Source organism: Homo sapiens, chromosome 13, assembly GCF_000001405.40.
Source record: "Homo sapiens chromosome 13, GRCh38.p14 Primary Assembly".
NCBI classification, from domain to species: Eukaryota; Metazoa; Chordata; class Mammalia; order Primates; family Hominidae; genus Homo; species Homo sapiens.
Genome location: NC_000013.11, coordinates 112,082,751 through 112,095,783, shown reverse-complemented (window position 1 = coordinate 112,095,783; position 13,033 = coordinate 112,082,751). Strand labels below are relative to the sequence as shown.

Here is a 13,033-nt window from a genome sequence, read left to right as displayed (position 1 = left end):
ATTCCAACTCAAATAAAAAAAAAAAAAAAGAAAAAATCTGTTATTTATCCTTATTAACAAGGCTGAGGTGAGTGTTTCTCATGCCCTTGTGACAAATAAGGAAACAGGTTCAGGGAGACACAGGGAATCGGTAGGAACAGTAATATCCAAACCTGCATGGGCACGACTTGGAAGTGTCCCTGGAAGTCCGCCGTCCCACCCTCGGTGTAGCCTGTCCTGAGAGGGGGCCCTGATGATGGAGGGCACACAGGCTGCAGGCTCAGGCCCGGCCTGAGAGCTGCGCTTGCTCGGAAGAAGATGCCAAGCCATCTGGAAGAGAAGAGAAGGGCCTGGTGGGTGAATGGCTGGAGGAGGTTGCAGTTCTCAGAAATGGACGTGCTTTCTGACCAGGGAGGGGCACAAAAAAGAATCCTGGGGAGTGCTGAGGACATCACTGGTTTTTCAGACTAACCAAATGGGATGGACCGTGATGGTGTAGGGATGGCTGAGACACAGTACAGAAGCTACTGGATTCGAGGTTAGAGCCCGATGTGGCCATTTCAAGCCAGGGTGGTGAGAAGCCAACTGCATTGAATGTCTTCACTGGGGCAGCCTTGTTGAGCCCAGGGAAGATCAGCTGTGCCGTGAGTGGAGTGTAACTTGCTCTCAGGAGCATTTCGGAATCACACAGCTCTGACTGTCAGAGCTCAGCCCTGCGCCTCTAGGAGAGAGACACATATGGGGCGGAGGTAGACAGAGAGACAGAGACACAGAGGAAGAGTCAGAGAGAGAGAAGAAGAAGAACAAGAGAAGGGAAGGGAAGGAGAAGGAAGGAGAGAGAGGAAGGGAGAGAGAGAGTTTGCTGAAATGGATGGGAATGTGTTATCGCTTACAGCCCTAAATCGGAACTATCTCACAGTGCAATAATTTTTTTTCTTTTACTACGATGGCCAGTACCAAAGATCTAATGAACAAATCCCCTGCATTTGGGAACTGAGAATCAGATTTAACAAATATTTGCTGAGAACCTCTAATGGCTCAATCTTTCAAGAATATTTCCTTCTTTAGTTCTCACAGTCCTTCAAGTTATATATCATTTTTGCCATTTTCCATTTGAAGAAACCAGCTCAAAGACGTGAAGCAATTTGCTTCATGTTTACAAAGCTAGTAAGTAGCATAGTCAACGTTTGAATTAGATCATCTGACTTCAAATCAGTATCCCTATACCACAGCTACCACTGTAGGGTCTACATACGGTGTAGATCACAGTACAACTAAGGTGGAATTTCACCAACCACCAAGATGCAAAGATTGAGTGCTGTGGAGACAAAGGAAGCGATCAGTTGGAATCACTCTGTAGATCCACTGGGACTTAGAAGAGAAGAGGTTGAACAGCAGTGGACTCTGGGAGGGTTGACATTGGCAAAAACCCAAGGGCAAATTTGATTTACTTAAATCAGGTCATGGCTTAAAATGAACATCTTTGTTGTAAGCCCAAGATGTCAAATTGACCTCTGTGACTCCTGGAATAGTCTAAAATGGGAGTTCCATGGACACTATCAGCCCCTTTGACACTGTGGTGAAGCCTCTGAACCCCTTCTCAGGATAATGTTTCTAAATGCACAAAATACAGTGCATATAAGGAACTGATTCGTTATTTTGAAAACTGGTAAGTAAAGGGAAAGATTGTAGCATGTGCATTCTGGTTTCTGTACTAACTCTACCACTGGGTAACCTAATAGTCAAGAAGACATATTTTTTCCTTTGTAGAAGTATTATAGCTAATACATTACAGTAATGATAGAATTTGAAAAAGCATTTCGCATCTCCTAATTAACGAATGGATTCACGCATTAACCCTCAATGGCACCAACTCCCGGAAGTCACGCTGCTTCCCTTTTGCCCTTGAATCAAACCTGAACAGTATCAGGACTCTGAGGCCAACTGTCAGTTCCCAGAAAAGTCACGGAAGAGGCAATGATAAAGGATACCACGGATGCAATTGGCAACCCAGACCGTGGGAAACTCTGCATGGTAAATAACCCTCTTTTTTTTTTTTTCCAAAGAATTCCAAAAAGAGAGACAGAAGAGTGAGATTGTAATTAAATTCTTTAATAATCATAATTTCTTACTAATGGCATGTGTGTGCCTGCCATTGGAAGGAGATTTTGCAGCTGCCACCTTCGTTTCATTTTCTGCTTTGATTTTTGTGGGGTACTTGCTTTTATACTGCAGCAAATGTCAAAACCCAGATTCACAGAGACAAGGCTGCTGCCATGAGGGTTGTAGCCCTGTCTCATATGGAACCATGAACCATATCGGGCTACTAGTTTGTGCGGTGTCCACAGACAACAGTTATCACTGTGTTTCCCTTGAACATTGAAAATATCAATGTTGTTGGCACCCCTGTGAGCTTGCTGTGAGGTCCCAGGGTACCTTGGCACACAGGGAGCAAAGTGTCGCCTAAGTTATACAAGCAGGTGCCCTGGATCCAGAAGAACCAATGGTTCTTGCTTTCTAGTCCCGTGAACCATATTCATGCAAGGACGAGGTCCTTCTTCTGATTTCATTTATAAATGGACAGTGGACATGTGTCCAGAACTTGATGAAATTATGTAACAAGTTACTGGTCTGTTAAATTCTGAAAACCGTCTCTACTTAAGTATATTTGACTTATCTGGACTGTGTCCTCTTAGGCAAATTTCTTTTAGTGGGAGATCTACTGTTTAAACTGTTTGAAAATTCTCACTGTTCTTTTAGCTGTGACAGTTAATTTCCATGTGCATTTCTACTTCTGGTCATGATGAAACTGGTATCAAACTAGAACTTCTGCTGTTAAAAATCTATAAAGTTGGACAAAATGTGTGAAACGAGTGTTTTCAGATGCTTGACAATAAGAGTGCAGGCCTGTGCTCCCTGAAAGAAGGGCCATAACAGAGGTGAGCCCCAGGATTGCCCAGTGTCCTGCCATGAGCCTTCCCAAAGCAGGTCCCAGAGGAGCCCGGGCAGGACAAGGCCATCCTGCTAGGTCGAGAAGTGTAGGAGATGCAGTGGAGCTGGAGGGGAGCACAGGCTGAAGGCTCAGAGGAGAAGTTTCAGAAATCCACAGGGAGGCCTGCTGGCATCTTTGAATACTCAGCTCTACCTGCTAAGGCAAGACTCCAAAACAGCAGACAAAGACCAACTACCAGGGAGAGGAGCTGAGTAGAAATTCCAGAACTGGCATGGGGCTGGAAGACAATGAGGACCAACAAACCAGTATGGAGAGACCTCGTTGAACACACCAAGCACTCCAGTTAATATCCTGGAGCAGACGTGATTTAGGAATAAGGTTACTCTAGCCCTAGAGTCAAGACTACTGCAGGCATTCACTAACTGAGCTTAAAATCAAGCCTTAAGAGGATCAAGTTGAGCTGCACGTAAATTAACTGCCTACCACCATTAACTTCAATATTCTTCAAATGAGGACAACGAAACCCAGACATTCAAAAAGCTGGCATCCACTATGTCCAGCATGCAATAAAAACTTGCCAGATATATAAAGAAGCAAGGAAATGTGAGAAAAATGTGAGGAGAAAAATCAGTCAAAAGAAACTGACTGGAAATGACAAAGACGATGGACTTTAACACGACCATTATAAATAGGTTGAAAGATTTAAGTGAAAATGTAAAAATATTGTGGGATCAATAGGAAATATCAATAGAGAAGCAAAAACAATTGGAAAGAAAACACACGAGAACTCTAGAACTGAAAAATGCAATTGAATATGAACATTTCCGTTTTATCTATAAACCTTCTGATTACAATGCCTGTCTCATCCGTAAACACAATGCAGTATACAAAATAGCTTGTCTCGTGTAAATAAAATACAATGTAAGTGAGTAATCCCTCGTTTGACTCAAGCATGTTTCCTGCAAAGAAGCTGAGGGACTTCACACACATATCCAGGCACTCTCAAAATCAGCTGGGCAGCACTGGGCACTGCAGTTTATTGTCTAAGACAAGGCTGTTGATGGGACTTTCTGTGATGATGGAAATGATCAATGTCTGCACTACCTCATACGCCTGCCACTAGCCCCATGTGGTTATTTACATTTACTTTAATTAAAAACTCAGTTCCTCAATAGCAGTAGCCAAATTTCAAGTGGTCATAACACAGCTCTGAGGTCTTAAAGTCAATTTTGTAAAAATCTTTTTTTTTTTTTTTTTTTTTTTTTGAGATGGATTCTCACTCTGTTGCCCAGGCTGGAGTGCAGTGGTGCAATTTCAGCTCACTGCAACCTCTACCTCTTGGGTTCAAGCGATTCTCCTGTCTCAGCCTCCCGAGTAGCTGGGATTACAGGTGCCTGCTGCCACACCTGGCTAATTTTTTTTTTTTTTTTTTTAGTACAGCTGGGTTTTTGCCATGTTGGCCAGGCTGATCTCAAACTCCTGGCCTCAGGTGATCTGTCCACCTTGGCCTCCCAAAGTGCTGGGATTACAGATGGGAGCCACCATGCCTGGCCCAGTTTTTTTTTTTTTTTTTGGTATGTTGAAATAATTAACTCAACTTCCAGAGTTTGGAATGACTCAATGACTGCATAAGAAGAAATTTATACACTAGGGAAATTCAGGTGTGAATTTTTTTTTTCATTTCATTAGTTAATATGTTAGGAAAGAAGTGAAGGACCTATCTGAACTCAGTGGTTCTAAAGTTTCATAGGCAAAGCAGTTAGTTGGAGGGTTTGTTATAATAAAGATTTCTAAGATACACCCACCCCCAGATTAAGGGGTATTTAATATGGTTATCTACTACTGGGTGGGACTCAGAAATCCACATTTTTTGGAAACATCCTAGGTAATTCTGATACATGAGTATGCCTTAAGAAAAGCTGAAAAAATATTCAAATATTCAAACCAAATGTTGCCACTTCAATCAGTGTGAGTTTACATGCATGGTGTGGACAATTATCTAATTTTTCTTTTTGTAACTTTTGTTGGTGTTGAACTGCCTGCCTGCCTGCCTGCCTGCCTGCCTTCTTTCCTTCCTTCCTTCCTTCCTTCCTTCCTTCCTTCCTTCCTTCCTTCCTTCTTTTCTTCCTTCCCTCCTTGTTTTTTTATTTTGAGACAGAGTTTTGCTTAGTCGCCCAGGCTGGAGTGCAGTAGCACAATCTTGGCTCACTGCAACCTCCTCCTCCCGGGTTCAAGCAATTCTCGTGCCTCAGCATCCTGAGTAGCTGGGATTACAGGCGCCTGCCACCATGCCCGGCTAATTTTTGTATTTTAGTAGAGACTGGGTTTCACCATGTTGCCCAGGCTGGTCTCTAACTCCTGAGCTCAGGCAATCTGCCTGCCTCAGTCTCCCAAAGTGCTACCATTACAGGCTTCAGTCATCGTGCCCGGCCTATGCTGTTTTTAAATGTAGAAAAAAAGTTTTTTATTTTTTCCTTATTCTATTAAAAGCAAACTGCATTTCTCAGATGATTCAAAATGTCATGTTTCTGTGTACTAGAACTTAGGATACAGAGGTCCTATTTACTTGTTGAGTGAGCAAATCCAGGCGAGAGATGTTTTAGGGATGCTGTCTCTGAACACACTTGCTCCACACACGAGTGAACTGAGTGTGGCCTGAGACCCCTGGTCCAGCTGAGCGCCCTGCTTCTGTGTTGGCAGGACACATTTCACAGGCAAACGTGTGAGTGTGAGCACATTCTGGATCATTCGTCTTTTTCTCTTGGAAATAAATTATAATAAGATTTTCACTCGCAAACTCACCAAAACGTGTGTTCTCCCTTCGAGGTCATGGAAAATTCTCTCACATAATAACATAGGATAAAGACAGATTTGGCTTCCTGAATTCATTTTATGAAAATCAGACTTGGAGGCATTCTAGAAGGAGTCCAAAGAGGAAAATTTGATTTCAGGAACCTTTTGTCATCAACTTTTTCAACACTGAGTTGGCAAGCTACCTCTTAAGCCTGCCAGAGCCAATGTTTCATCACATCCATTTCTCATTGAACCACTGGGTTTCTTCTACTTCAAACTAAAAACCCTGCAGGATATTGTGTCTATAAAAATAATTTTAGAAAGATTTTTCCAACCTTATATTTAAAAGGATTTTTTTGTCTGTTTGCTTAATTAAATTCATTTTATTTTAAAAGCCAAACCAAATTGTTTTGTGTTGTAGTGTTTTGTGCTTTTGGTGTAATAGTGGAAGACACATCACACAATGGTGTATTTGTGCCCTATAAATGCTACATCATACACATTTTCCAGATTATATAGGAATCATCTAAATAGTCCCAATACCAGCCATAATTCCATTTTGTCTTTTTTGTATATGTTATGTACCAGTGAGAAGAAGGGCACAGTTATATTTAAGTATAGCTATGTATGTGTATTTTGAGAAGAAAAAAAAATTTTCCTTATTATTCTTTATCCAAATTCTGACACTTATACAATGGCCTGCCATAAAATGCTTTTTTTTTTTTTTTTTCAGTATTTGTTTGATTTTTGGGTCCCTGAGTCCAATTCGCTTATATGCTCAAAGAACGTCTCTAAGTTTTGGGTCACAATAGTTTCATTGACTTTATTTTGGGGACCTTTGGTTCCAGCAGTAGCCTACTTTTTTGTGATAGAGAAGAGATTAATGAATTAACCCCTTTATAAATACCACGTGCATTTTCTATTTCTGGACATTTCTGAATAGGGCCCATGAATCACTTAATAATTCTGTGAAAAGCTTTCTGTGGCAATTCTTTGGACATCTCTGGCCACTAGATAAAATTCCATGTTCGTGGACTAGGTGGAATAATCACCCTGTTAGCGCTTATGTAATAGCACTGAGATCATCTCGTCCTCTGTAGGGACTGGCATCACTCTGTGGCTGTGTTCTCCCCGTCTGCCGGAGTCTGCCTGGTGATTGGCCTCATTGCTGTCTGTAGGGACTGGCATCCCTCTGTGGCTGTGTTCTCCCCGTCTGCCGGAGTCTGCCTGGTGATTGGCCTCATTGCTGTCTGTAGGGACTGGCATCCCTCTGTGGCTGTGTTCTCCCCGTCTGCTGGAGTCTGCCTGGTGATTGGCCTCATTGCTGTCTGTAGGGACTGGCATCCCTCTGTGGCTGTGTTCTCCCCATCTGCCGGAGTCTGCCTGGTGATCGGCCTCATTGCTGGGGCTGTAGGTGGTGGTGGTGTTTAGCACTGTGGTTTCTATTTCTAAGAACACCCTTTGCAGAAATGGTTCCACCTCAAGGTTCTACCGCAGCTTCAGTGTGGGGTGGCTCCCGTCACTCCTATGAGAGTTACACTCCTTTCCTTTCCCTATTTCAAATGAAGACAGTCTCTTCAAGATGAAAAGGGAAAGGAAGGGGTCACAGCTAACATTAGACTCTAACACCAAAATCAAAACAATTGCAACTGGCATTGGGGCATTTCATACTTGGACACAGAGCTGCACACCCCGCCCGCTGCCAACCAGGAACTTCACAGGGGGTATTCACAGATATCCGAAAGTGCGCATTTAGAGATGGAGATGTGAGATGGATTGGGATTCAGCAGATACAAACCCTATCCGTGCCTGAAGGACCTCTAATCGCGTTGTCTTCACATGTCTCCTGAGGAGCCAGGAAAAAGGGGTTTCACCTCCTGTGCTTCGTGTGGAACTCCACTGCAGCCTCTGAACTCTCCTTACTCGTGTCCATGTGACTGTGCAGGACTCAGTGTTCTGTCAATGGTGGAACTTGGTGTTTAGAGAAGAAAGGCTGAGGAACGGAAGCTGGCTCTGGTTTTCCATAAGGGTCAAGGACACAGGGAGACAGAGGAAAAAAAGAGAGGATTTGGTGAGAGAAAACAGTGAATGTCCAAGACCTGATAAAGGAGAAAATTCCAGTTAGCAATGCAAAACCTTACGATGGACTACAAGCCAGAGAAGCGAGACCTCCTGAGACCTTCTCTAGGTTTCTGGTAAGGGGGCAGCATCGCCAAGGAAAGCCATTTAGGATGATGACTGCAGTGCAGGGGACTCCTGGTTAAACCTGGCGATTTCAACACGTGTTTTATTGATTTTTTTCTTTCTTGTAACCCCACTCACATGAAAATTAAATAGTATCAAAAAGGAGAGGAGGCTTTACTGGCTTATGAACAGCAGTAAATTTTTTGGAGATCAGAAATAAAGAGAAAGCAGACCTAAGAAAGCCAACGCAATGCCTAAAGTGAGTGATATGATAAGAACCATGCTAATCTTACTACAGAACCAGAAAGGACCCGGAACCTGAAATTCCAGTGTCTGAAATGATAGAACTAAAAGGAGTCTGAAGTCCACAGGAGAGAGGCCAGACTTGGAAGTCCCCTCCCCTCCCCAGCACACCGGCAGCGACCCCTCCTCCAACGCAGCAGATTCATTTACAGAAAATGGAATGAGAGAGGCAGTAGAGGAGGAGACAGTAAGCGTAGCAGATGGGAGGGGAGAAGGGCTGCCCTGAGAACAGACCTGTTACATGAGAGCTTATGTCCTGGACTGGGGGTCCCTCCGTCCCTTCTGTGCAGTTGCAAGAATGCCTGTAGGTGATGGCAAAATTTTTCTCTAGAGAAACAAAAGGATTCAAGAAGAGGGGAGATCCCCAAAACTACACATAACTGACATCTGGATATTCCTGCAATGAAACATTCAAATTTCAGGCTGCAGTAAACCTACCAGGTATCATACAGCCCCTCCCAAAGCTTCCAATCAGCTTTTTTGTGCCTCATTTAAAAATATTAACAGATAAAAAGAATAAACATACATTAGAGGAAAGCCCCTACATGAAAGGCTGAGTCCAAAATTAACAGGTAAAGGGATTCAGAAGCAGCCAAAGCCATTCGGGACAAGTAGAGGCATTTACATAAAAACTCATAAAGAGGATATTATAATTCATGAAATGAAACCAGCACAGTATTTAAACCAAAAAGATATAAGAAAAACTCAGAGGACAAAATATGTCCTGGAATGTAAAAATATGATTGTTGAACAAAAACAAATCAATGAAATAAGTGAAAGATAAATGTGAGAAACTATCCAAGAAAACAGAGCCAAAAGAGCAAGAGAGAGAAAGGAGAGAAACAATATAAAAATCAAAAGATGATGCAAAAGATGTGATCTCTAATAGGAATTCCAGAAAGAAAGACCAGAGAAAAATAGAGAAAATTTTAAAGAAACAATTCATGGAATTTCTCAGAATTGAAGGATATGACTTTCAAGATGGAAAAAGTACATCAGATTCCCAGCACAGGAAATCAAAAAAGATATCAATACACATCATCACGCAACTTCAAAAACCAGTAATAAAAAGAGAAAATAAAAACAGACAACAAAATAGTTTGCATAGAAAAACCATAGATCAGATTTTTTTTTTTTTTTTTGAGACGGAGTCTCGCTCTGTCGCCCAGGCTGGAGTGCAGTGGCGGGATCTCGGCTCACTGCAAGCTCCGCCTCCCGGGTTCACGCCATTCTCCTGCCTCAGCCTCCCAAGTAGCTGGGACTACAGGCGCCCGCCACTACACCCGGCTAATTTTTTGTATTTTTAGTAGAGACGGGGTTTCACCGTTTTAGCCGGGATGGTCTCGATCTCCTGACCTCGTGATCCGCCCGCCTCAGCCTCCCAAAGTGCTGGGATTACAGGTGTGAGCCAGCTAATGCCATTCTTAACATGAAAGACTGAAAGCTTTCCCTAAGATAAAGAATAAGACAAGAATGCCAGGTCTCACCACTTCACTCCAACACTGCACTGGAGGTTCTAGCCCAGGAATCGCAGCTCCCTGCCCAGCCATTGACTGGTACCTGTCCCTGTCCATGGCCTGTTAGGAACAAGGCCACCCAGCAGGAGGTGGGCAGCCAGCGAAGCTTCATCTGTATTTACAGCTGCTCCCCAATGCCCACATCACCACCTGAGCTCTGCCTCCTGTCAGATCAGTGATGGCATTAGATTCTCATAGGCGCGTGAACACTGTTGTGAACTGCACACGCGAGGGATCTTGGTTGTGTGCTCCTTATGAGAATCTAATGCCTGATGATCTGTCACTGTCTCCCATCACCCCCAGATGGGACCATCCAGTTGCAGGAAAATGAGCTCAGGGCTCCCACTGATTCTACATTCTGGTGAGTTGTATAATTATTTCATTTATATATTACAATGTAGTAATAATAGAAATAAAATGCACAATAAATGTAATGCACTTGAATCATCCTGAAAGCATCCCCCCACAACCCCCCATCTGTGGAAAGTTTGTCTCCCACGAAACTGGTCCCTGGTGCCAAAAAGGTTGGGGACTGCTGTTCTAGCCAGTGCAATAAGATAAGAAAAAAAAAAAAGACATCAGATTAGAAAGGAAGAAATAAAAATGCCTTTATTTGCACATGACGGGATGTCCATGGCAAGAATCCAAAACTAAAATAGTTTGGGATAAATATGACAAAAGATGTATGAGATCTTTGCACTCAAAACTGAAAAACATGACTAAAGGAAACTAAAGAAGATTTAAATAAGTGGAGATTATATAACATGTTGAAGGATTGATGACTCAATGTTGTTAAGATATCGGTTCTCCCAAAATTCATCTATAGATTCCATAAGGCCTCAATTAAAACTGCAGAAGGCTTTTTTTTTTGTAGACATTGACAAGCTTATTCCAAACTTTATATGGAAATGCAAAGTACATAAAACAGCCAAAACAACTTTGAAAAAACATTAACAAAGTTGGAGTATTTACACTACCTGTTTTTAGGACTTATACAGTAATTAAGATTGCGTGGTATTGACATAAACATAGATCAATAGATCAATGTAAAATAATAAAGAGTCCAGAAGTAAAACCACACATATATGGTCAATTGATTTTTGACAAAGGTGCCATGGCAATTTAATGGGTAAAGAATAATCTTTTCAAAAAATGATACTGGAACAATGAGTAACAATATGCAAAAAAATACTAACACTTACTTCATGTCACATACAAAAATTAATTCAAAATGCATCACAGTCCTAAATGTGAGAGCTAAAACTATAGAATGTTAGAATATTGCTCATTAGAACATTTTGCAATGATGGCACTACTATTTGTCGTACTGATCAAGATGATTGCCAGTAGCCCCCTGTGACGACTCAGCACTGGAGATGTGGCTGGTTGACTGAAGGACATTACTTATGGATAAACAACTGTCTCTCCCTACAGCAGAATACTCACCCATAAAAGGAATGGCCTATGGATGCATGCTATATATGGATTACTCTTAAAATCATTATGCTAAGTGAAAGAAGCCAGACAAGAAAGAGCACACACTATAAAATCCCATGTATACAAAATTCTAATAAATGCAAACCAATCCATACTGACAAAAAGCAGATTCGTGGTTGTTTGCAGGTGGAAAGAGGTAAGAGAGAGGGTTTGCAAAGAAGGGAAGTGAACTTTTGACGGTGATGGATATGTTTGTTATCTTGATTGTGATGATAATTTCATGGGTATATATATTTGTCAAGCTGTATCAAATTGTTTATGGTATATGTGTACAGTTTATTGCATATCAAGTATCCCTCAGTAAGGTGTAAAACACAAATAGTACAGATTGCTCAAAAGCAACATCATGTGTTGGAGATAAAATCACAAGGGAAAATTATTTTTTAATCTAGATTTCTATACCTAGCTAAACTATCACTCTAGGGTTGTACAGCCTATTAGAAGGCATAACTTACCAAAACAAGAAAGGAAATCCAGCAAGAAAAAACATGGATATGGAAAATGGGAGATCCGTGGCAGAGAGATGACATGAAATGTGACAATAACCACCATGCAGCAAGGGGACAGAGGCCCCCCAGGCCTGGCTGCAAGAAGAAGCTGAGCTGATGAAGTCCCTGATGTATTCAACCTTGCAGGACATACTATTTAAAGGTGTTTACTAATACGGATGCAGAATTTGGAAAGAATTTGTGATAGGACCGTAGAAAACCGAAGGATGAACAACATCAACTCTCACAAAACAAGACCATTAAAAACTTTAGGTAAAAGAACAGTTTCCCAAGAATGGAAATGTTATTGTTTACCACTGGGCTCAGCCATGAACAATACTTCTACATTCAAAATAAGGTAAACACTGGCATTCACTTAACAAAATCCAATGATGTACCTACTTTGGGAAAGACGGGAGTAGGAAAGAATGTGAAAGAACACCATAGCTTTATAGTCCTGCTAAGGTCTGAATAGATGATGTCTACAATTAATAAATCAAGAATAAGCAATACAAACATATAATCCAGAAATATGGAGATAAATATGTGAGAAGAATGCCAAAAGAATTCTATGAAGCTGCTGCTGGGGAATGGGTCCAAGGGATGGGCTTGAACAAAGCGTGGGTCTGCTGTTTTCCTTGGGAGCCTATGATACTGTTTGCCTTCTAAAGAAATGTTCATATGGATTATATTATTAGCATTAGAGTCTGTCAGCTCTGGGCTGATCCTGAATCTTCTGTTCATTGATAATATGCCCTTTGGTAGATTACTTAACCCCTGTTAGTCTCCTCACTCTATAAAAAGGGGAATAACTATACATCTCAGAGATGTAGTGGGGATAGTATGAGATTATGTGAACTGCATGGAATTGCACTGCATTCTTCCGAAGGGGTAAAGGTGGTTTAGTAAAAATAAAAATAACTCCCAGGTGGCATCTGAGGGTTATTCAGTTTCCTTTCTGCTGTAACGGAGGGACCGTGTTGTTTGGAGTAGAATTCACATTAGTGGCCACTACATGCTGTCTTAACATGGCAACAAGAAGTAAGTCCCCTCTGACCTGCTGTGGCTTCTACAGTGCCATGATGTAGGTGATTAATTCAGGATAGATTCAAGGTCATTGAGAGGGTAACCAGTTGGTAGGAATACGTATTAAAAGCTCCTGTTTGCAAACAGGTCTAGGGGATAGTAAGGGTATTCAAAAGCTCATGAAACACTAAACTACTTCTTTTTTCAGCAGTACCAAGGCCTTTAGAATATGGACTATTTACTAGGCAAGAAAACTCAGTGTCATTATCAATCACCACCCATTATGGCTTGAA

The 13,033-nt window shown here is 41.7% G+C and overlaps 1 long non-coding RNA gene across 1 annotated transcript in view; it reads right to left on the bottom strand.

Moving 5' to 3' along the window:
• SOX1-OT (SOX1 overlapping transcript) overlaps positions 1 to 13,033 on the bottom strand; it is a 135,706-nt gene that overhangs the window by 12,232 nt on the left and 110,441 nt on the right. Inside the window, exon 2 of the long non-coding RNA NR_120392.1 lies at positions 153 to 309. This is a non-coding gene — a long non-coding RNA (SOX1 overlapping transcript). The remainder of the gene's footprint in view (positions 1 to 152; positions 310 to 13,033) is intronic.